Source organism: Homo sapiens, chromosome 19 (genome assembly GCF_000001405.40).
Source record: "Homo sapiens chromosome 19, GRCh38.p14 Primary Assembly".
NCBI classification, from domain to species: Eukaryota; Metazoa; Chordata; class Mammalia; order Primates; family Hominidae; genus Homo; species Homo sapiens.
Genome location: NC_000019.10, coordinates 48,637,892 through 48,659,506, shown reverse-complemented (window position 1 = coordinate 48,659,506; position 21,615 = coordinate 48,637,892). Strand labels below are relative to the sequence as shown.

Sequence of the window (21,615 nt, the reverse complement as noted above, 5' to 3'; positions counted from 1 at the left end):
GGAGTCTCACTGTGTCACCCAGGCTGGAGTGCAGTGGAGTGATCTTGGCTCACTGCAGTCTCCGCCTCCCAGGTTCAAGCGATTCTCCTGCCTCAGTCTCCTGAGTAGCTGGGATCACAGGCACGAGCCACCATGCTCGGCTAATTTTTGTATTTTTAGTAGAGACGGGTTTCCCCATGTTGGCCAGGCTGGTCTCGAACTCCTGACCTCAGGTGATCCACCCGCCTCAGCCTCCCAAAGTGCTGGGATTACAGGCGTGAGCCGCCGCGCCCGGCCAAGGAATTTTCTAAGAAGGGTCCTCTGTTCCAGAAAAACTATATTCCTTATCTTTGTTATTTTCATCCTCTCTTGAAGCCAATTCAGTTGGGCATTCACTGCCCCCATACTCCACCTTCATATCCAATCCATGAGCAAATCCTGTCCACATCCACAAAATATCTCCCATAATTCAACCATTTTTACCATCTCTGTTGCTACCACCTTTGTCCAAACCACCATCACTGCTCGTCCGGATTATTACAATAGTCCCCACACTACTCTCATCACTACCCCCTGAAAGTCTTCTTCACATGGAAGCCAGGATGATCACTTTAAATCATGTCAGGACAGACATGGTGGCTCATGCCGGTAACCCCAGCACTTTGGGAAGCTGAGGTGGGAATCACTTGAAGCCAGGAGTTCAAGACCAGCAAACGTGGTAACATAGCAAAACCCCATCTCTACAAAAAAAAAAAAAAAATTAGCTGGACATGGTGGTGCATACCTGTAGTCCCAGCTACTTGGGAGGCTGAGGCAGAGGATTGCTTGAATCCAGGAGTCGGAGGCTGCAGTGAGCTATGATCGTGGCACCGCACTCCAACCTGGGCAACAGAGTGAGACCCCATCGCTAAAAATAAACTCTTTTTTTTCTTCTGCATTTTTTAATGCAGAAAAAAACAAAAAACAAAACACAAAAAATAAACTCTTGAATGGCTTCCCATCACTCTCAAAATAAAACCCAAAGTCCCTGCCCTGCCCCACAAAGCCCTGCATGATCTACCTCCACCACATCACCGACCTCACCTCTTATAAGTCTTCCTCATTCACATCACTGCAGCCACACTGGTCTTCTTCCTATTCCTTTAAAAACAAAGCACACTTGCTGGGCACGGTGGCTCACGCCTGTAATCCCAGCACTTTGGGAGGCCGAGGCGGGCAGATCATGAGGTCAGGAGATCGAGACCATCCTGGCTAACACGGTGAAACCCTGTCTCTACTAAAAATACAAAAAAATTAGCTGGGCGTGGTGATGGGCGCCTGTAGTCCCAGCTACTCTGGAGGCTGAGGCAGGAGAATGGCGTGAACCAGGGAGGTGGGGCTTGCAGTGAGCTGAGATCACACCACTGCACTCCAGCCTGGGCAATAGAGCAAGACTCCGTCTCAAAGGAAAAAAAAAAGCACACTCTGCTCCAGGACCTTTGCACTTGCTGTTCTCTTCCTGGAACACACCTTTTCATGTTATGGCAAGCCAGTTTCCTTACTTCATTGAGACCTTCCATTAGGCAGCTTAGGCTAGCTCTGTTGGCTCTATGGAGTTTATTGAGTTCTGGCTGGGTGTGGTGGCTCATGCCTGTAATCTCAGCACTTTAGGAGGCTGAGGCTGGTGATCACTTGAGCCCAGGTCTAGACCAGCGTGGGCACCATGGTGATACTCCATCTCTACAAAAAATACAAAAATTAGCTGGGCATTGTGGTGTGTGCCTGCCTGTAGTCCTCATACTTGGGAGGCTGAGGCAGGAGAATTGTTTGAGTCCAGGAGGTCCAGACTGCAGGGAACTATGATTGGGCCACAATACTCCAAACTGGTTGACAGAGCAAGACCTTGTCTCAAAAAAAAAAAAAAAAAAAAAAGAAGAAGAAGAAAGAAAGAAAAGAAAAAGAAAAAGAAAACACAAAGTTTCTTTCTTGTTCATATACATGTTCCATGCAAGTTGGCAAAGGTTGGTTTTCCACACAGTCAAGGACCCAGGCTGAGAGATGTTCACCACCTTGTAGCACCACCCGTAACCCAGGGCATCCTTGATCACTGAGACAAGGAAAGAGGAAAAGCACTGAATGGTCTTATGCAAGCAAAACAGCTTTGGTCCAGGAACGACTCCCGGCCCTTCCAATCACAGCTCATTCATCGGGATTACTCATGTGGTTCCACTCAGTTGTATGAAGGTGGGGACGTAGAATTCCCTCACGTGCTCAGTAACAGAGAACTGTCGAATTCCTTTCCTGTTACTGCCATAACAAATTACCATAAACTCAGCAGCTGAAACAACACAAATTTATCATCTTACACGCTACAGATCAAAAGCCTCACATGGGTTTCACTGGGCTAAAATCAAGGTGCTAACGAGGCTGCATTCCATCTGGAGCCTCTAAGAGAGAATCTGTTTCCTTTCTATTCCCAGTTTCTAGAGGCCACCCACATTGCCTGATTCATGACCCCTTTTTCCATCTTCACGGCCAACCACGACAGGTCGAGTCCCTTTCACATTTCAGATTTTTCCTGCCTCTTCTATCCTCACATCTCTTTCTGACCATGGCTGGGAAAGGTTCTCTGCTTTTAAGGACTCCTGTAATTAGACGAGGGGCACCCGGTCTACCGCCATACCACCCTGAATGAACCCGATCTTGTCTGATCTCAGAAGCTAAGCAGGGTCAGACCCTGTTAGTTCTTGGATGGGAGATGGGGCCACCCAGATAATCCAGAATAATCTCTTCCCCATCTCAAGGTCTCTTGTTTGTTTGTTTGTTTTGAGACATTCTCGCTCTGTTGCCCAGGCTGGAGTATAGTGGCATGATCTCGGCTCACTGCAACCTCCGCTAGACAGAAAAAAACAAACAAAAAGCCAAAACAAACAAACAAAAAACAGAAAAAAACAAAACAAAACAAAAACAAAAAAATCCCCCCAAAATTAGCCAGGCCCGGTGGTGCACACCTGTAATCCCAGCTACTCGGGAGGCTGAGGCAGGAGAATCGCTTGGATCGAGGAGGTGGAGGTTGCAGTGAGCCGAGATCATGCCACTGCTCTCCAGCTTGGGCAACACAGCGAGACCCCATCTCAAAAAAAAAAAAAACAAAAAACAAACAACAAAACCACAAATCCCAGCCCTGCTGAGCCACATCGCTCAGTTTTCTCATCTATAATATGAGGATGATAATAAAATAATAGAAAATAATCTACAGGGTACGTTTTGAGGATTAAATGAGTTAATATATATAATGGGCTTAGAACAGTGCCTAGTGCAGACTGACAGCTGTATGAGTTTATTATTTATTTATTTATTTTGAGATAGGGTCTCACTCTGTCTTCCAGGCAGGAATGCAGTGACACAATTGCAGCCCAATGCAGCCTCAACCTCCCAGGCTCAAGGGATCCTCCTGCCTCAGCCTCCCAAGTAGCTAGGACTACAGGCGCAAGCCACCAGGCTAGGTTTTTTTTTGTTTTTATTTTTTTTTAAATAGAGGCAAGGTTTTGCTGTTGCCCAGGCTGGCTTTGAACTCCTGAGCTCAAGCAATCCTCTTGCCTCAGCCTCCCAAAGTGCTGGGTAATCCCATCACCAGGCGTGAGCCACTGCTCAGGGCCTTGAGTTTGTTATTAATATTATTTAGGCTGGGCGTGGTCTTTCACGCCTGTAATCCCAGCACTTTGGGAGGCCAAGGCAGGCAGATCACTTGAGGTCAGGAGTTCGAGACCATGCTGGCCAACATGGTGAAACCCCGTCTCTACTAAACACAGAAAAAATAGGCTGGGCACGGTGGTTCATGCCTGTAATCCTAGCACTTTGGAGGGCCGAGGTGGGCAGATCACCTGAGGTCAGGAGTTCGAGACCAGCCTCACCAACATGGTGAAACCCTGTCTCTACTAAAAATACAAAAAGTAGCTGGGTGTGGTGGCGTGCGCCTGTAGTCCCAGCTCCTCGGGAGGCTGAGACAGGAGAATTGCTTGAACCTGGGAGGTGGGTTGCAGTGAGCTGAGATCACACCACTACACTCCAGCCTGGGCGACAGAGCAAGACTTCTTCTCAACAACAACAAAAAAAAAAAAAAAAAAGAAAGAAAGAAAAAGAAGAAAAATTAGCTAGGCATGGTGGTGCACAGCTGTAGTCCCAGCTACTCTAGAGGCTGAGGCAGGAGAATCGCTTGAACCCAGGAGGTGGAGGTTGCAGTGAGCCAAAATTGCGCCACTGCACTCCAGCCTGGCAACAGAGCAAGACTCTTGTCTCTCTCTCTCTCTCTCTTTCTTTCTTTCTCTCTCTCTCTCTCTCTCTCTCTCTATATATATATATATATATATATAAAATTTAAACACCCAGAGTCCACAGTCCACACCTCCTCCAGGAGACTGGAACCCAGAAGGCGAGAGTATAGATCAAGGAGGATTTTTCTAGGCTCCCAGGGGCAGTGGGAGTTGAAGGCAAAGAGATAGCAGTGAGGAGGCCAAGAGGGGCTGTGGGAACCACCCAGGCCTGTAGAGGCCTGGCGCTGCCGCCTCCCACTCAGGGGCTGGGGAGATAGGAGATGAAAGCATGGTGCAGAGCAGGCCCCATATGTTCCTCATGACCCAAACTTTGTTCCCAGCACCCGAGACGAATAGGCATGAAATCCACATCTGGGACCCACCTCCGGCCTGGTCGTTCCCTCCCCCTCTGGGCACCGAGCCCAGTCTGTCTTTGCGCTATAATGGAGGCAGCACAGGTGGCTTCCAGAGCTCTGAGGAGGCCCCTGCCCACCTCGTGGCATTGCCAGATGGCTTCTTGGAGGAGGGGACTCCTGAAGTGTGCAGAAGTCTGAGTAGGAATTTGCCCAGCAGAGAAGGGAGAAAGGGAGCCCAGTTAGAGGAAACAGTTTGGCAAAGATCCCAGGGCAGGAGGTCTCTGTGGTGAGAGAAGAGATGAGGCTGGGGACTGGGGGTGGCCAGGGCATGTGGGTTCTCTCAGACCAGGCTGAGGACCTGGGTTTTTTTCCCCCAGGGCACTGAGGAGCCATGGGAGGTCTGTGAGCAGGGGAGGGGCAGAATCAGCTTTGTGTGAGAGACAAACCGTGTTAAAACAGAGTGATACGGGCAATCATCATCATCATTGAGGTGGCTCAGCTCACTGGGGGAGCCCAGAGAGTACCCCAAACCCAGCCTACAGGTCAGAAAACTTCTCTCACAGGTGGATCTTCAAGGACATTAGAAGAATCTGGTCACGACAAGAAAGGCTGAGGAGGGGGACTCTGTCCAGAGGTGCAGGGGAGCCGTGGGAGAGGCAGGGTCCACTCTGAATGTAACACAACCACTCAGGGTGGCTCTCGCCTGTAATCCCAGCACTTTGGGAGGCCAAGGTGGGAGGACTGCTTGAGGCCAGGAGTTCAAGACCAGCCCAGCCAGCATAGTGAGACCTCTATCGCTACAAAAAAATAAAAAATGACTAGTGTGTTGGCCTGGCGCGGTGGCTCACGCCTATAATCCTAGCACTTTGGAAGGCCAAGGCGGGCGGATCACCTGAGGTCAGGAGTTCGAGACCAGCCTGACCAACATGGAGAAATCCTGTCTCTACTAAAAATACGAAATCAGCCGGGTGTGGTGGCGCATGTCTGTAATCCCAGCTACTCGGGAGGCTGAGGCAGGAGAATCGCTTGAACCCAGAAGGCGGAGGTTGCGGCAAGCCGATATCGTACCATTGCACTCCAGCCTGGGCAACAAGATCGAAACCCTGTCTCAAAAAAAAAAAAAAAAAAAATTACTAGTGTGGGCAATACGGTGAAACCTTGTCTCTACAAAAACAAAAACAAAACAAAACAAAAAAACAGAAATTAGCTGGGTGTGTGATATGCACCTGTGGCCCCAGCTACTTGGGAGGCTGAGGCAAGAGGATCCCTGGAGCCTGGGAGTGAGCTATGATCACATCACTGCACTCCAGCCTGGGTGACAGAGCAAGACCCTGTTTAAATAAATAAATAAATAAGTAAATACAGTTTAAAAAGAAAAATTAAAAAATAGCTGGGTGTGGTGGCACACACCTGTAGTACCAGCTACTTGGGAGGTTGAGATGAGAGGATCACTTGAACCCAGGAAGTTGAGGTTGCAGTGAGCTGTGATCACGCCATTGCATTCCAGCCTGGGTGACAAAGCAAAACCCCATCTCAAAAAAAAATAAAAATAAAAATAAAACCCTCTGGGATCTGTGGGGCATGGATTGCAAGGGGAGGGAAACTGGAAGGGGGAGAAGCTGAGAAGGAGGCTGTGGGGAGGACTTGAGGGGAAAAGATGCATCCTGAGCACTGGTTAGGATTATGGAGATAGTCAGGAAGTTAAATGTTGGCCAGGCACGGTGACTCACACCTGTAATCCCAGCACTTTGGGAGGCCAAGGTGGGCAGATAACCTGAGGTCAGGAATTCAAGACCAGCGACCAGCCTGGCCAACATGGTGAAACTCCGTCTCTACTAAAAATACAAAGATTAGCTGGGCGTGGTGGTGGGCCCCTGTAATCCCAGCTACTTGGGAGACTGAGGCAGGAGAATCGCTTGAACCCTAAGGTGGAGGTTACAGTGAGCTGAGATCATGAGACTCTGCCACCACTGTGCTCCAGCCTGGGTGACAGAATGACTCTGCCTCACAAAAAAAAAAAAAAAAAAAAAAAAGAAAGTCAAATGTTCTAACACACCAGATCACACCAGGACCAGGAAGCCTTCCTCTTTTTTTTTTTTTTTTTTTTTTTTTTAAAGACAAAATCTCGCTCTGTCACCCAGGCTGGAGTGCAGTGGCGCTATCTCGGCTCACTGCAAGCTCTGCCTCACAGGTTCTCCTGCCTCAGCCTCCTGAGTAGCTGGGACCACAGCAGGCGCCCGCCACAATGCCCGGCTAATTTTTTGTATTTTTAGTAGAGACGGGGTTTCACTGTGTTAGCCAGGATGGTCTCGATCTCTTGAGCTCGTGATCTGCCCACCTCAGCCTCCCAAAGTGCTGGGATTACAGGCGGGAGCCACACCCGGCCAAAGCCTTCCTCTTAAGCCCTATACAAAAACATTATTTTCTCACCTGTCTCTCAGTGCCACAGTCCCTGTGTTTTTATTTCATTCACTCACTTATTTATTCATTCAACATATTCTCCTGTGGTCTCCCTGGAAAATTCTGACACCCTGACCTGAGTCGGACTAGGGACTTGCCTAGTCTGGGAGGGTGGGGTAGGAGGGAGACCTTGGTACAATGAGATTTGGTAGGATATTCAACAATGGAGGCAGCGCAGGGCACTGTGGGAGCCTAGAAGAGGCACCTGGCCATGTCTTGCAGTTCAGGGAAGACGTCCTGGAGGAGGCAAGGCCCTCCATGGGCACTGCAGAAAACCCGAGTGTCACCCAGGCACATGGGAACTGGCAGACTCTCCAGGGAAAGACATCATGAGCATGGTTTCATTCAATAATGCCTGAGTTCTCTCCTGAGGACCCCGTACACCAGGCTCTGTGTGCAGTGAGGCTGGGGACTCAGAGACGGGTCAGGCTTGGGCCCTCCGGTGGAACACATGGGGACACAGTCCCTTTCTAACAAGATGTATGCTCTCATGGAGGTAGCACAGGACATTGTGAATGTTCACAGCAAGCACTGACCCAGCCTGGGGGGGGGGGGGCGGTCAGGGAAGGCTTCCTGGAGGAGGAAAGCCCTACATTTTAGGTAGAGTCTGCTCTTCTTGCAGTATCAGTCAGCCTTTCACTTTCTGTATAGCTCTAGTTCCTTCATTGCCTCTGCCTCTGTCGGACTCCATGTCTTTCTTTCTTTCTTTCTTTTTAAATTTTACTAAATACAAATAGAGATGGAGTTTCGCCATGTTGCCCAGGCTGGTCTCGAACTCCTGAGCCCAAGCAGTCCGCCTGCCTCAGCCTCCCAAAGTGCTGGGATTGCAGGTGTGAATCATCGCGCCCAGCCAGGTTCCATGTCTTAATTTCTCCCCAGCCCCAGGCTGGCTGTCACAAAAAATGACCACAAACATGATGGCTTATCACAACAGAAATGTATTGTCTCACAGCTCTCGGGGTCAGAAGTCCAAAATGAAGGTGTTGGCAAGGCCATACTCCCTCCACAGACTCCAGGGGCGAATGTTTCATGCCTCTTCCAGCTCCTGGTGGCTCCTGGCATTCCTTGGCTTGTGGCTGCCTCATTCCAACCTCTGCCTCGATCTTCACACGGCCTTCTCCCAATCTCCCTATGGCTTTTTTTCTCTTATAAGGACATTTGTCATTGGATTTAGAGTCTACCCAGATAATGCAGGATGATTGCGTCTCAAGATCCTTAACTTTTTTGTTGTTGTTGGAGATAGTGTCTTGCTGTGTTGCCCAGGCTGGAGTACAATGCTGTGATCTTGGCTCACTGCAGCCTCGACCTCCTGAGCTCAAGTCATCCTTTCACCTCAGCCTCCCAAGTAGCTGGGACTACAACTGTGCACTGCCATGCCTGACAAGGTTTTTAAAATTTTTTGCAGAGGCCAGGCACGGTGGCTCACACCTGTAATCCCAGCATTTTGGGAGACCGAGGCAGAAGGATCATGAGGTCAGGAGTTCGAGACCAGCCTGGCCAACATAGTGAAACCCTGTCTCTACTAAAAATACAAAATATTAGCCAGGCTTGGTGGCAGGCTCCTGTAATCCTAGCTACTTGGGAGGCTGAGGCGGGAGAATCGCTTGAACCCAGGAGGCAGAGGCTGCAGTGAGCTGAGATTGCATCACTGCACTCCAGTCTCGGTAATGGTGCTAGACTCTGTCTCAAAAAAAAAAAATTTTTTTTTTTTTTTTTGCTGAGATGGGTTCTCATTGTGTTGTCCAGGCTGGTCTCAAACTCCTGGGCTCAAGTGATCCTCCTGCCTCAGCTTCCCAAAGCACTGGAATTACAGATATAAGCCACTGCACCCGGCCCCTCCCAAGTCTTTAAGGGTCCATCTCTCCACAACTCTGTGTCTCTCTTCCTCTCCCCACCTGTGGTGGTTTGAAAATTAATCCCCAAATTCTGTGATACGTTTCCTTTCAAGAGCAAAGGATTTTTTTTTTTTTTTTTAGACAGGGTCTCATTCTGTCGCCCAGGCTGGAATGCAATGGCTCGATATTGGCTCACTGCAACCTCTGCCTCCCAGCTTCAAGCGATTCTCCTGCCTCAACCTCCTGAGTAGCTGGGATTACAGGCACACGCCACCATGCTCGGCTAATTTTTGTATTTTTTTTTTTTTTGAGACAGTCTTGCTCTGTCACCCAGGCTGGAGTGCAGTGGCGCGATCTCAGCTCACTGCAAGCTCCGCCTCCTGGGTTCACGCCATTCTCTTGCCTCAGCCTCCAGAGTAGCTAGGACTACAGGCGCCCACCACCACGCCCGGCTAATTTTTTGTATTTTTAGTAGAGACGGGGTTTCACCGTGGTCTCGATCTGCTGACCTCATGATCCGCCCGCCTCAGCCTCCCAAAGTGCTGGGATTACAAGCGTGAGCCAACACGCCCGGCCAATTTTTGTATTTTTAATAGAGACGAGGTTTCACCATGTTGGCCAGGCTGCTCTTGAACTCCTGATCTCAAGTGATCTGCCTTCCTCGGCCTCCCAAAGTGCTGGGATTACAGGCGTGAGCCACCGCTCCCGGCCCAAGAGCAGAGGATCCTAACGTCTTTCCTTTTGAGTGTAGGCTAGATCTAGTGACTCATTTCTGATGCGTGGAATAAAAGGTGTGTGACTTTGGGAGACTAGGTCATAAAAGACTTGAGATGACTGCAGCCCTGTCCAACAGTTTCACTGCACCCTCAAGAAGGATCCAGAACCACCCAATGAAGCCATTCCCACATTCCTGGCCCTCAGGAACTGTGAACACAATAAATGTTTGTTGTTTTAAGCCACTGAGTTTTAGGGTAATTTGTCACACAACAACAGATTTTTTTGTCGTTGTTTTGTTTTGTTTTGTCGTTGTTTTTGAGACAGTCTCACTCTTTGCCCAGGCTGGAGGGCACTGGTGTGATCTCGGCTCACTGCAACCTCCACTTCCTGAGTTCAAGTGATTCTCATGCCTCATCCTCCCGAGCAGCTGGGACTAGAGGCATGCGTCACCACACCCGGCTAATTTTTGTTTTTGTTTTTTTTTTTTTTTTGAGACAGAGTCTCACTCTGTCGCCCAGGCTGGAGTGCAGTGGCGCAATCTCGGCGTGTGCCACCATGCCCAGCTAATTTTTGTATTTTTAGCAGAGACACGGTTTCACCATGCTGGTGAGGCCAGTCTCGAAATCCTGACCTTGTGATCCGCCCGCCTTGGCCTCCCAAAGTGCTGGGATTACAGGCGTGAGCCACTGCGCCCAGCCTAATTTTTGTATTTTTGGTAAAGACGGGGTTTCACCACGTTGGTCAGGCTGGTCTCAAACTCCTGACCTCAAGTGATCTGCCTTCCTCGGCCTCCCAAAGTGCTGGAATTACAGGCGTGAGCTGCCGTTCCCCAACTATTTTTTTCTTTTTCTTTTTTCTTTTTTTTTTTTTTTTTTGAGACGGAGTCTCGCTCTGTCGCCCAGGCTGGAGTGCAGTGGCGTGATCTCAGCTCACTGCAAGCTCCACCTCCCGGGTTCACGCCATTCTCCTGCCTCAGCCTCCCGAGGAGCTGGGACTACAGGCGCCCGCCACCGCGCCCGGCTAATTTTTTGTATTTTTAGTAGAGATGGGGTTTCACCGTGGTCTCAATCTCCTGACCTCGTGATCCGCCCGCTTCAGCTTCCCAAAGTGCTAGGATTACAGGTGTGAGCCACTGTGCCCGGCCTGTTTTTTTCTTTTTCATAAAAAATAGAGACGAGGTCTTACTATGTTGCCCAGGCTGGTCTCAAACTCTTGATCTCAAGTGATCCTCCCTCCTCAGCCTCCCAAAGTGCTGGGATTACAGGCATGAACCACCAAGCCCCGCCAGCAATAAATTATTAGTATGTACCTTTCCTTCTTGTGTTTTTTCTTCGTGTCTCTCTCCACCCCTGACTCTCTGGGTTTCTTTCTGGGTGTCTCTCTCCATCTCTAGGTCTTTGAATGTCCATCCCAATTTGCTATCTCTGAATACCTCTGTCTTTCTGATTCCTTTGTAGTCTCTCCCATCATGTCAGTTGGTCTGCTTCTGGTCCTCTCTCCCTCTATCTGGGTCTCTCTATCTCTGTCCATCTGTTCCTCTCTGTTGATGTCTCTTTCTCTGCACGAGTGTCTCTATTTATAGATGTGTGTGTGCCTGTTCCCAGGTCTCTGTCTCTAGCTCTGTGTGTGTGTTTCTTTCTTTCTTTCTTTTTTTTTTTTTTTTTGAGATGGAGTCTCACTCTGTTGCCCAGGCTGGAGTGCACTGTTGGGATCTCGGCTCACTGTAGCCTCCACCTACCCGGTTCAAGCGATTCTCCTGTCTCAGCCTCCTGAGTAGCCGGGATTATAGGTGTGTGCCACCACGCTCAGCTAGTTTTTGTATTTTTTAGTAGAAACGGGGTTGCACCATTTTGGTCAGGCTGGTCTTGAACTCCTGACCTCAGGTGATCCACCCACCTCGACCACCCTAAGTGCTGGGATTACAGGCGTGAGCCACCATGCCTGGCTAAGTTTTTATGTATTTAGTAGAGATGGCATTTGGCCATGTTGGCCGGGCTGGTCTCAGTCTCCTGGCCTCAAGTGATCCATCCACCTTGACCTCCCAGAGTTCTGGGATTACAGGTGTGAGCCACCATGCTCAGTCTGTGTGTGTGTTTCTATGTCTCTCCCTCTCTGTGTCTCTCTCCACCTGTACTGATGTATGTGTGTCTCTTTCTATGTCTCTCTGTCTCGTTAATGTTTGGTGTCAGGCTGGACAAGGTGGCTCACACCTGTAATCCCAGCACTTTGGGAGGCCAAGGCAGGAGGATCCCTTGAGCCCAGGGGTTCCGGACCAGCCTGGGCATCATAGCAAGACTACATCTCTACAAAAAATAATTTTTAAAAATTAGCCTGGCATGGTGGCATGTGCCTGTAGTCCCAACTATTTGGGAGGCTGAGGTGGAAGGAGTGTTTAAGCCCAGGAGGTCGAGGCTGGATCAAGCCATGATCGCACCACTGCTCTCCAGCCTGGGTGACATTGCAAGGCTTGTCTCAAAAAAGAAAATAAAAGAAGACAATGAGCAGTTTCACTACCATTAGACGGGGTGAAAAATAATAAATAACAACAACAACAGTAATATGTGGTCTCTCTGAGGCTGGGTATGGTTGTTCATGCCTGTAATCTCAATGCTTTGGGAGGCCAAGGTGGGAGGATCCCTTGAGGACAGGAGTTTGAGACTAGCCTGAGCAACATAGCATGACCCCATCTCTTCTCCCCAAATACAAAAATGTGGTGTCTCTCTCTGTCTTTGGATCGCTCTTTCTCTCTTTTTGTCTCTCCCCACCCCATCTGCTGCTTGGTCTCTGAGTTTCTGTCTATCTCTAAGTGTGTGTCTCTATGTCTCCATGTCTGTCTCGCTGCGTCTCTGTATCTCCTTTTCTGCCTCTATCTGTATCTCTCTCATTCATTCCTTCCTCTCTCCCTCCCCCTCCTCCTCTCCCTCCTCCCCCTCCTCTCCCTCCCCCTCCTCTCCCTCCTCCCCCTCCTCCTTCACCTCCTCCCCCTCCTCCTCACTCCTGCCTGGCGGTTTGTTCTTGCCTCTCTAACCTTCTGTCCCTCCGCCCTTCCTCTCCGTATCCATCTCAGGCTCCCTTCCCCTCCCCAGCCTACGCAGATGTGGGTCCTCACCTCCCGCTCTCCGCCTCTGCCCTCCCGGCTCCTCCTCCCCGCCCCTCTCTCCCTCGCCAGGTCTCTGCCTCCCCCTCCAGGCGAGCAGCCCTCACTGCACTTCAGGCTCCTAGGGGATCCCCCGGCCCCGTTAAGGCAGCCCCAGGCAGAGACCCAGTGGAGCCCTGGGGCGGGGAAGGGGGGCTGCGGGCGCTGGGGCGGCTCCAACCTGGGTCCCAGCGAGCAGGGGGACCCTGCATCCGCCAAGGCCGGCGGCCCCCAGCATGGAGACTTCCGAAGCCACTCCCAGCTCCACCTTAAGCGCCCCCCCTTCCCCTTGCTGCGGAGGATGGAAACAGCCTGCTCCCGGCCCCAGGTGTCCCGGCCACCCCCGCCCGCGTGGCCCCAGCGCGGCTGGGAGCCGAGGACCAGCCCCCTACCTCCTTCCGAATCCTGCCCTTTCGCACATCCCACCCCAAGCCAACCCGAGGAGTGTTTGCCGCTATGAGATCACCTGCTCCCCCAGCCCAACAACAAAATTAAATAACACCACGGGAGAGGAGAGAGGGAGGGGGAGGAGGGAGGAAGGGACAAGAGAGAAGAGAGACTGAAACAGGGAGAAGAGGCAGGAGAGGAGGAGGTGGGGAGAGCACGAAGCTGGAGGCCGACACTGAGGGAGGGCGGGAGGAGGTGAAGAAGGAGAGAGGGGAGAAGAGGCAGGAGCTGGAAAGGAGAGAGGGAGGAGGAGGAGGAGATGCGGGATGGAGACCTGGAGTTAGGTGGCTTGGGAGAGCTTAATGAAAAGAGAACGGAGAGGAGGTGTGGGTTAGGAACCAAGAGGTAGCCCTGGGGGCAGCAGAAGGCTGAGAGGAGTAGGAAGATCAGGAGCTAGAGGGAGACTGGAGGGTTCCGGGAAAAGAGCAGAGGAAAGAGGAAAGACACAGAGAGACGGGAGAGAGAAGAAGAGTGGGTTTGAAGGGCGGATCTCAGTCCCTGGCTGCTTTGGCATTTGGGGAACTGGGACTCCCTGTGGGGAGGAGAGGAAAGCTGGAAGTCCTGGAGGGACAGGGTCCCAGAAGGAGGGGACAGAGGAGCTGAGAGAGGGGGGCAGGGCGTTGGGCAGGGGTCCCTCGGAGGCCTCCTGGGGATGGGGGCTGCAGCTCGTCTGAGCGCCCCTCGAGCGCTGGTACTCTGGGCTGCACTGGGGGCAGCAGGTAAGACCTGGGGTTCCCGGGAGGAGCCCCCGAGGGAGGGTGGAGGTGGGGATGCCAAGGAGAGGGATTCAGGCTGCTCTCTTCCCAGCTCACATCGGACCAGCACCTGACCCCGAGGACTGGTGGAGCTACAAGGATAATCTCCAGGGAAACTTCGTGCCAGGTGCCGCCAAGGCGGGGACCCAGGAGTCCGGCCCTCCCGGCGCCTCCTTCTTCAGACTCAGGAACCTGGGTTCCCAGCTCCCTCCTCCCCCCCAGGACCAGGAGTCCCAGCCCCCTCCTCTGTCCCTCAGGAGTCGGGCCAGCTTCTGAACCCCAGGGGCTCACCATGGGACATTATACATGCGCATTTCAAGTAGTGAGTGGGAGTGAGTGGAAGGAAAGTGTGGGGGTGGAGATTATGTGTGTGTTTGCCGGGAGAGGAAGGTCCTGGCTCCTGCTAGGAACCAGAGGCTGGGTGGCCCCGTCCCCCACCTTGTCCAGCCTTCTCTTGCAGCTCCTCTCCCCAACACATTAATAATAATCCAGCTGTGGGATAAGAGCGATTAAAAAAAAGAACTACAACTCCCACGGGGCTCTGGGGCAGGTAGGCAGCAGAGGGGTAGGCTGGTAGCACTGGGGCCTGCTGGGAGTTGTAGTTCCATCTACAGTGGCTTAAGATGGGTTTGATCGGCTGGGCGCGGTGGCTCACGCTTGAAATCCCAGCACTTTAGGAGGCCGAGGTGGGTGGATTACCTGTGGTCAGGAGTTCAAGACCAGCCTGGCCAACTTGGTGAAACCCGTCTCTGCTAAACTTGGAAACTATTCCAAGATTCTTCTAGGACCCAGAATTCTGGATCTGAGCCCAGTCCTCCCTCAGACCCAGGAGTCTAGGTCCCTAGCCCCTCCTCCCCTGGGATCTGGGAGTCCAGACCACAGCCCACTCAGCAGATACCAGCCCTGGGATCCAGTCTCTATTTCTGACTCCTTGTCCTCCTACTCCGACCCCACCCCCAGGGCCTCCTTTCTGGGGCCTGGTGAATGCAGCGTGGAGTCTGTGTGCTGTGGGGAAGCGGCAGAGCCCCGTGGATGTGGAGCTGAAGAGGGTTCTTTATGACCCCTTTCTGCCCCCATTAAGGCTCAGCACTGGAGGAGAGAAGGTAAGGGGCTTGGAGGGAGGAGCTATTGAACCCACTGGGGATGGGCATGAATAGAGGCTGGGGAATGGGGTGCTGAGGTAGGAGAGCAGCCTTGGGGGAGGAGGGGACACCCAGTGGGTGGAGAGGAGGCTGCTTACACTGTAAAATGGATCACCCATTCTTCCCATCCCAAGCATGGTCCCCTAGTCTCCCCATCTCTGCAGAAGCAATGAAAAGCAGAACATTTCCTGTGCCAGGCAGATTTAAAACCTTGATAAGCCTCTCATCTCATAACCACCCCACAAAATGGGTACAATTATTATTATTGTTATTATTATTATTATTATTTTGAGATGGAGTTTTGCTCTTGTTGCCCAGGCTGGAGTGCAATGATGTGATCTCAGCTCACTGCAACCTCCACCTCCCAGGTTCAAGCGATTCTCCTGCCCCAGCCTCCCGAGTAGTTGGGATTACAGGCATGCGCACCATCACGCCCAGCTAATTTTTTGTATTTTTAGCAGAGATGGGTTTTCTCCATTTTGGTCAGGCTGGTCTTGAACTCCTGACCTCAGGTGATCCACCTGCCTCGGCCTCCCAAAGTGCTAGGATTACAGGCATGAGCCACTGCGTCCAGCCAAAATGGGTACAATTATTAACCTTATTATATACATGCAGAAACTGACACACAGAGGTTAAGTTACTTGCCTAGGATCACACAGAGAGCCAGCACTGGCATTCAAACCAAGCAGCGTAGCATGAATGCTGGGACCTGCTTTATAGTACCATGCTGGGAACCATACTTTTTTTTTTTTTTTTTGGAATTGGGATCTCACTCTGTGACCCAGGCTGGAGTGCAGTGGCCCAGTCATAGCTCACTGTAACCTCAAATTCCTGGGCCCAAGTGATCTTCCTACCTCAGCCTCAAAAATAGCTAGGACATGCCTGGGTGTGGTGGTTCATGCCTGTAACCCCAGCACTTCGGGAGGCCGAGGTGGGTGGATCACGAGGTTAGGAGTTCGAGATCAGCCTGGCCAACATGGTGAAACCCCATCTCTACTAAAAATACAAAAATTAGCCGGGTGTGGTGGCATGTGCCTGTAATCCCAGCTACTTGAGAGGCTGAGGCAGGAGAATTGCTTGAACCCGGGAGGCGGAGGTTGCAGTGAGCTGACATCACGCCACTGGACTCCAGCCTGGGTGACAGAACAAGACTCCATCTCAGAAAGAAATAAATACAGAGAGAGAGGGAGAGAAAAGAAAGAGAGAGAGCGAGAAAGAAAGAGAGAAAGAGAGAAGGAAGGAAGGAAGGGAAGGAAGGAAAGGAAGGAAGAAGCCAGGACTGCAGGCACATGCCAGTATGCTTGGCTAACTTTTTAAGTTTTTTGTAGAGGTGGGGTCTCACTATGTTGTCCAGGCTGATGTCGAACTCCTGGGTTCAAGTGATCCTCCTTGCCTTGGCTTCCCAAGGTACTGGAATTACAGCTGTGATCCACCGCGCCTGGCCAATACCATTTCTTATAAGAGCCGGCACTGCCTTTCATTTAGCTGCCCCAGCCAAAAGCCTCAAAGCCATTCCCCATCCTATCCTCTCTCCCTCATGTCCATTTCCAATCCATGTTCTTTCTAGCCTTGCTGCTAAATATTATTCAAATCCTTTCACCTATCACGCCCTCTACTGCCCCCAGTCTCATGTAGGCACCATCATCTCCCACCTGGACTGGTGGCGTACCCTCCTCACTGGCCTGCCTCTCAACTTCCTGCAATCTATTCACCCCACAGCTAGAGAGATGTTTAAAACACAAATAAGATCATATCACTCCTGCTCAAAATCCTCCTATTAGGATATGTAATAACAGCAAACATTTACATAGCACTTACTATATGTTTGGCATTCTGGCAAATGTGTTATATATATGCAGTTTATTTATTTTTATTTTATTTTATTTTTTGAGTCGGAGTCTCGCTCTGTCGCCCAGGCTGGAGTGTAATGGAATGATCTCAGATCACTGCAACCTCCGCCTCCTAGGATCAAGCGATTCTCCTGCCTCAGCCTCCCAAGTAGCTGGGATTACAGGCGCCCACCGCCACACCCAGCTGGTTTTTGTATTTTTAGTAGAGATGGGGTTTCACCATGTTGGCCAGGCTGGTCTCAAACTCCTGACCTCTGGTGATCTGCCCACCTCAGCTTCCCGAAGTGCTGGGATTACAGGCGTGAGCCACCACATCCAGCCTATATATGCAGTTTATTTAAATAAAAATACAAAACTCTCTACTGTTTTCCACAAGGTCCTGCACCATTCAGCCCCCATAACCTCTCTCTCCTCTGTTCACTGGACTTTGATGAAGTCTCTTTGCTGTTACTCAAACAGGCCACCTCAGGGCCTTTGCACTTGCTGTTCCCTCTTCTTGGAATGCCCTTCTCTTTGTTCTTTTGCAAGTCACCCCTGCTTATCCTTCAGGTCCCCATTAAAATGTCACCTTTGGCCAGGTGCAGTGCTTCATGCGTGTAATTCCAGTATTTTTCAGAGGCTAAGGCAGGATGATGACTTGAGCCCAGGAATTTAAGACCAGCCTGGGCAACATAGGGAGAACCCTCTCTACCAAAAAAAAAAAAAAAAAAAAAAGAAAATTGAAAATTAGTTGGGCATGGTGGTATGTGACTGTGGTCCCAGCTACTTGAGAGGCTGAGGCAGGAGGATCGTTTGAGCCCAAGAGTTTGAGGCTGCAGTGAGCTGTGATGGCACCACTGCAATCTAGCCTGGGTGCCAGAATGAGACTTTGTCTCAAAATAATAAATAAATAAAAATAAAATGTCACCTTTGCAGGGAAGCTTTTCCTGACATCCCCCATCTAAGCTGAGCTCCCCATGACACCTCAGAGCTCCCAGTTCCCCCAAACATGAGCTCAGGATGTAGTTAATTAAGCAGTTACTTATGTGATTCACAATTGTCTGTCTTGCCTTCATTAGAACATAAACTCCATAAGGCCCAGGACTTTTGTCTACTTGTTTATTGCTCTATTCTTGCATCCACGGCACATAGCACCAGCTCAGTCAATATTTGTTAATCAAACAAATTCACCAATATTGGGCACCAACTTACAAACTGGCACAGAGCCTGGAAAGTGGTCAGTGTTCAAATTATGTTGAATGATTAAATTACTGTTGGAGGCCAGGCACGGTGGCTCACGCCTGTAACCCCAGCACTTTGGGAGGCCAAGGTGGGCAGAACACCTGAGGTCAGGAGTTTGAGACCAGCCTGGCCAACACAGTGAAACCCTGTCTCTACTAAAAATACAAAAATTGGCTGGGTGTGGTGGCACACACCTGTAGTCCCAGCTACTCGGGAGCCTGAGGGAGGAGAATCGCTTGAACCCAGGAGTCAGAGGTTGCAGTGAGGCGAGATCTCACCACTGCACTCCAGCCTCGGCAGCAGAGTGAGATTCTATTTAAAAAAAAAAAAAACAAAAACAAAAAGCCGGGCGCGGTGGCTCATGCCTGTAATCCCAGCACTTTGGGAGGCTGAGGCGGGCGGATCACGAGGTCCGGAGATCCAGACCATCCTGGTTAACACGGTGAAACCCCGTCTCTATTAAAAATACAAAAAATTAGCCGGGTGTGGTGGCGGGCGCCTGTAGTCCCAGCCACTCTGGAGGCTGAGGCAGGAGAATGGCGTGAACCCGGGAGGCGGAGCTTGCAGTGAGCGGAGCTCTCGCCACTGCACTCCAACCCGGGCGACAGAGCGAGACTCCGTCTCCCCCCAGAAAAAAAAAAAAGACCGGGTGCGGTGGCTCACGCCTGTAATCCCAGCACTTTGGGAGGCTGAGGCGGGTGGATCACCAGAGGTCGGGAGTTTGAGACCAGCCTGACCAACGTGGAGAAACCCTGTCTCTACTAAAAATAAAAAATTAGCCGGGCATGGTGGCGCATGCCTGTAATCCCAGCTACTCGGAAGGCTGAGGCAGGAGAATCGCTTGAACCCGGGAGGCGGAGGTTGCGGTGAGCCGAGATCACGCCACTGCACTCCAGCCTGGGCAACAAGAGCGAGACTCCGTTTCAAAAAAAAAAAAAAAAAAAAAAAAGACTGTTGGAATCAGAAAATGTAGGCGTGGGAAACGAGAGATAAAAGATCTCTCCCTGCCCCCTGACAGCTCCCGCCTCTCCCACAGCTCCGGGGAACCTTGTACAACACCGGCCGACATGTCTCCTTCCTGCCTGCACCCCGACCTGTGGTCAATGTGTCTGGAGGTCCCCTCCTTTACAGCCACCGACTCAGTGAACTGCGGCTGCTGTTTGGAGCTCGCGACGGAGCCGGCTCGGAACATCAGATCAACCACCAGGGCTTCTCTGCTGAGGTAGTGGCCACTGATTGTTTACCCGCCACCCTCCGCCCTGAGTCACCCCAATTCCTCCCACCTCACCCTCTTAGTGTCTCACCCCATCCTCCTCCACAGAACTGGCCTCCCACCCTAAGCACTAATCCTCAGCCTGATTCGGGCCCCCAAAGCTGGGGTCATGCTCTCCTCCCCTTCTGCTGGGGGACCCCATGCTCTGTGCTACCCCCAGGTGCAGCTCATTCACTTCAACCAGGAACTCTACGGGAATTTCAGCGCTGCCTCCCGCGGCCCCAATGGCCTGGCCATTCTCAGCCTCTTTGTCAACGTGAGCGGAGGCGAGATTCAGAGGGAGGGAGCAGTTGGGTGCCTGGAACCCGGGGTCTGAGGGAAGCGGGGTGCTGGGAGGCCCAGACTCCTGGGTCCTGGGGGAGGAGAAGGTTGAGGGCTTGGACTTCTGGGCTCCTGTGTCCTCACCTCGTACCCCCACACAGGTTGCCAGTACCTCTAACCCATTCCTCAGTCGCCTCCTTAACCGCGACACCATCACTCGCATCTCCTACAAGAGTAAGTCCCTGGCGTGCTGGGGGCAGTGGTCACACACGAGGGGGTTCAAGAGTGCCATCCCTCTTTACTCTGGCCTGATATTCCCGCAGATGATGCCTACTTTCTTCAAGACCTGAGCCTGGAGCTCCTGTTCCCTGAATCCTTCGGCTTCATCACCTATCAGGGCTCTCTCAGCACCCCGCCCTGCTCCGAGACTGTCACCTGGATCCTCATTGACCGGGCCCTCAATATCACCTCCCTTCAGGTGACCCTCTGTCCGCACCGCCCTTCCTAGGCCTGGGTACTCCACTCACTGGCCTGGGCATCCCCTTGCTCACCTGCCCTCCCTCTCCTCATAGACTGAACTCAAGTAGGTAAGAGGGTCAGACCACCTTGGGGGTGGGTGGGGCTGAGAACAGACCCCGCCCACCTGCTCCCAGGGGCGGGGTTTCCTGCGTGACGTCACCAAGACCATTCACTATTCACTCCCAGTTTCCCACCCTCCTTCCACTGCAGATGCACTCCCTGAGACTCCTGAGCCAGAATCCTCCATCTCAGATCTTCCAGAGCCTCAGCGGTAACAGCCGGCCCCTGCAGCCCTTGGCCCACAGGGCACTGAGGGGCAACAGGGACCCCCGGCACCCCGAGAGGCGCTGCCGAGGCCCCAACTACCGCCTGCATGGTATGGTCCAGTCTGCACCCCCTCTAAGTCTTGGGCTAACCCTCTTATATGTGTCTCCCCTTGGTGTCTCAGTGTGATTCAGTCCCATCCTCCTTCCTGCGTCTATATGGTCTAGCCTCGTGAGCTGTCTCTTTTTCTCTCTTTCCCTACATGTCTATGTGGTACAGTCCACCTGCCAGCCCTAGGCCATTGCTAGCCCACGATTTGTCTTTCCTCTTCACTGCTTTGTAACTTGGTCTATAACCCTTGACCCCTGCCTTCCTATGGTCCAATTACCTACTGTTCTGTGCTTCCTATTACTGTGAATTTCCAAAATGGTACAATTTGGATCCTCTCTCCCTTTCCAAGTCGTACTACCTTACGCTGTTCCACAATCTGATGCTCCCTTCCCCCTTACTGAGAATCTACAAGGTACAACCCCTTCCCTCCACCTCTGCCTCCCTGTGGTTTAGCCCAGGAATCTCACACACCCCCGGCTTCGCAACATGGTACAGTCCACACCCCCCCCCCCCCATGAAGACCTTCAAGTAGTTCAGCCTACTGCTGAATCTGGACGTCCCGATTCCCCCCTCCTATTGGCTTCTTGTGGTTCAGCCCAGTGCTTCTCGACCTAGTACATTCTGGTTCCCCGCTCGCAGACTTCCGACGGTAGGGCCCAGCGCGGCGCAGCCCACGCCCCCTGCACACCCCCCGCCCCTTCCATCCTATACTGACGCCCCCTGCCGTTGTTCTCTGTCTTACAGTGGATGGTGTCCCCCATGGTCGCTGAGACTCCCCTTCGAGGATTGCACCCGCCCGTCCTAAGCCTCCCCACAAGGCGAGGGGAGTTACCCCTAAAACAAAGCTATTAAAGGGACAGAATACTTCCTGTTTTCTCAGTGGTCTGATTCTAGGCGCGGTGGGGAAACATTTGGGTATTAAAGAACAGACTTCTTCCGGAAACCAATCTTCCTCTTTCTAAACCTCCGCTCTCGGTATTTTGGCTTCCTGCTTCTC

At 51.7% G+C, this 21,615-nt stretch overlaps 1 protein-coding gene and 1 pseudogene across 3 annotated transcripts in view, besides 6 other annotated features; one reads left to right on the top strand and one right to left on the bottom strand.

The window, feature by feature from the left end:
• SEC1P (secretory blood group 1, pseudogene) overlaps positions 1 to 21,468 on the bottom strand; it is a 44,207-nt pseudogene extending 22,739 nt beyond the window's left edge. Inside the window, exon 1 of the transcript NR_004401.2 lies at positions 21,361 to 21,468. The product of NR_004401.2 is annotated as a secretory blood group 1, pseudogene (transcript). The remainder of the gene's footprint in view (positions 1 to 21,360) is intronic.
• Positions 12,702 to 13,111: a silencer, noted in NCBI's record as "silent region_10897". NCBI's record gives its function as "represses an Ori minimal core promoter by ATAC-STARR-seq in GM12878 lymphoblastoid cells {active_cell/tissue: GM12878}" and the evidence as "EXISTENCE:reporter gene assay evidence [ECO:0000049][PMID:35858748]".
• Positions 13,142 to 13,331: a silencer, noted in NCBI's record as "silent region_10896". NCBI's record gives its function as "represses an Ori minimal core promoter by ATAC-STARR-seq in GM12878 lymphoblastoid cells {active_cell/tissue: GM12878}" and the evidence as "EXISTENCE:reporter gene assay evidence [ECO:0000049][PMID:35858748]".
• Positions 13,289 to 13,989: an enhancer, noted in NCBI's record as "H3K27ac-H3K4me1 hESC enhancer chr19:49148775-49149475 (GRCh37/hg19 assembly coordinates)". NCBI's record gives its function as "activates a minimal SCP1, AML or CMV promoter by ChIP-STARR-seq in primed H9 embryonic stem cells {active_cell/tissue: H9 hESC(primed)}" and the evidence as "EXISTENCE:reporter gene assay evidence [ECO:0000049][PMID:30033119]".
• Positions 13,320 to 21,561, top strand: CA11 (carbonic anhydrase 11). 2 transcript variants are annotated; one of them, NR_136241.2, is made up of 9 exons: positions 13,320 to 13,941; positions 14,030 to 14,104; positions 14,938 to 15,080; positions 19,227 to 19,412; positions 19,624 to 19,719; positions 19,886 to 19,958; positions 20,048 to 20,202; positions 20,454 to 21,267; positions 21,363 to 21,561. NR_136241.2 is itself a non-coding variant. In NM_001217.5 (9 exons), the coding sequence occupies exons 1-9, from the start codon at positions 13,875 to 13,877 to the stop codon at positions 21,386 to 21,388; spliced, it is 987 nt and encodes a 328-aa protein (NP_001208.2). In that variant the 5' UTR covers positions 13,320 to 13,874; the 3' UTR covers positions 21,389 to 21,561. The 2 variants fall into 2 exon arrangements, 1 of the variants encoding a protein (NP_001208.2); NM_001217.5 differs by having other exon boundaries at positions 20,454 to 20,619.
• Positions 13,990 to 14,690: an enhancer, noted in NCBI's record as "NANOG-H3K27ac-H3K4me1 hESC enhancer chr19:49148074-49148774 (GRCh37/hg19 assembly coordinates)". NCBI's record gives its function as "activates a minimal SCP1, AML or CMV promoter by ChIP-STARR-seq in primed H9 embryonic stem cells {active_cell/tissue: H9 hESC(primed)}" and the evidence as "EXISTENCE:reporter gene assay evidence [ECO:0000049][PMID:30033119]".
• Positions 14,691 to 15,392: an enhancer, noted in NCBI's record as "NANOG-H3K4me1 hESC enhancer chr19:49147372-49148073 (GRCh37/hg19 assembly coordinates)". NCBI's record gives its function as "activates a minimal SCP1, AML or CMV promoter by ChIP-STARR-seq in naive H9 embryonic stem cells {active_cell/tissue: H9 hESC(naive)}" and the evidence as "EXISTENCE:reporter gene assay evidence [ECO:0000049][PMID:30033119]".
• Positions 20,911 to 21,080: an enhancer, noted in NCBI's record as "active region_14904". NCBI's record gives its function as "activates an Ori minimal core promoter by ATAC-STARR-seq in GM12878 lymphoblastoid cells {active_cell/tissue: GM12878}" and the evidence as "EXISTENCE:reporter gene assay evidence [ECO:0000049][PMID:35858748]".

Coding starts and splice junctions, on each gene's coding strand:
- CA11 (NM_001217.5), top strand. CDS start 13,875: ATGGGGGCTGCAGCTCGTCTGAGCGCCCCTCGAGCGCTGGTACTCTGG. Junction 14,105..14,937: donor CCAGGGAAACTTCGTGCCAG/GTGCCGCCAAGG, acceptor CCCCACCCCCAG/GGCCTCCTTTCTGGGGCCTG. Junction 20,620..21,362: donor CCCCAACTACCGCCTGCATG/GTATGGTCCAGT, acceptor TCTGTCTTACAG/TGGATGGTGTCCCCCATGGT.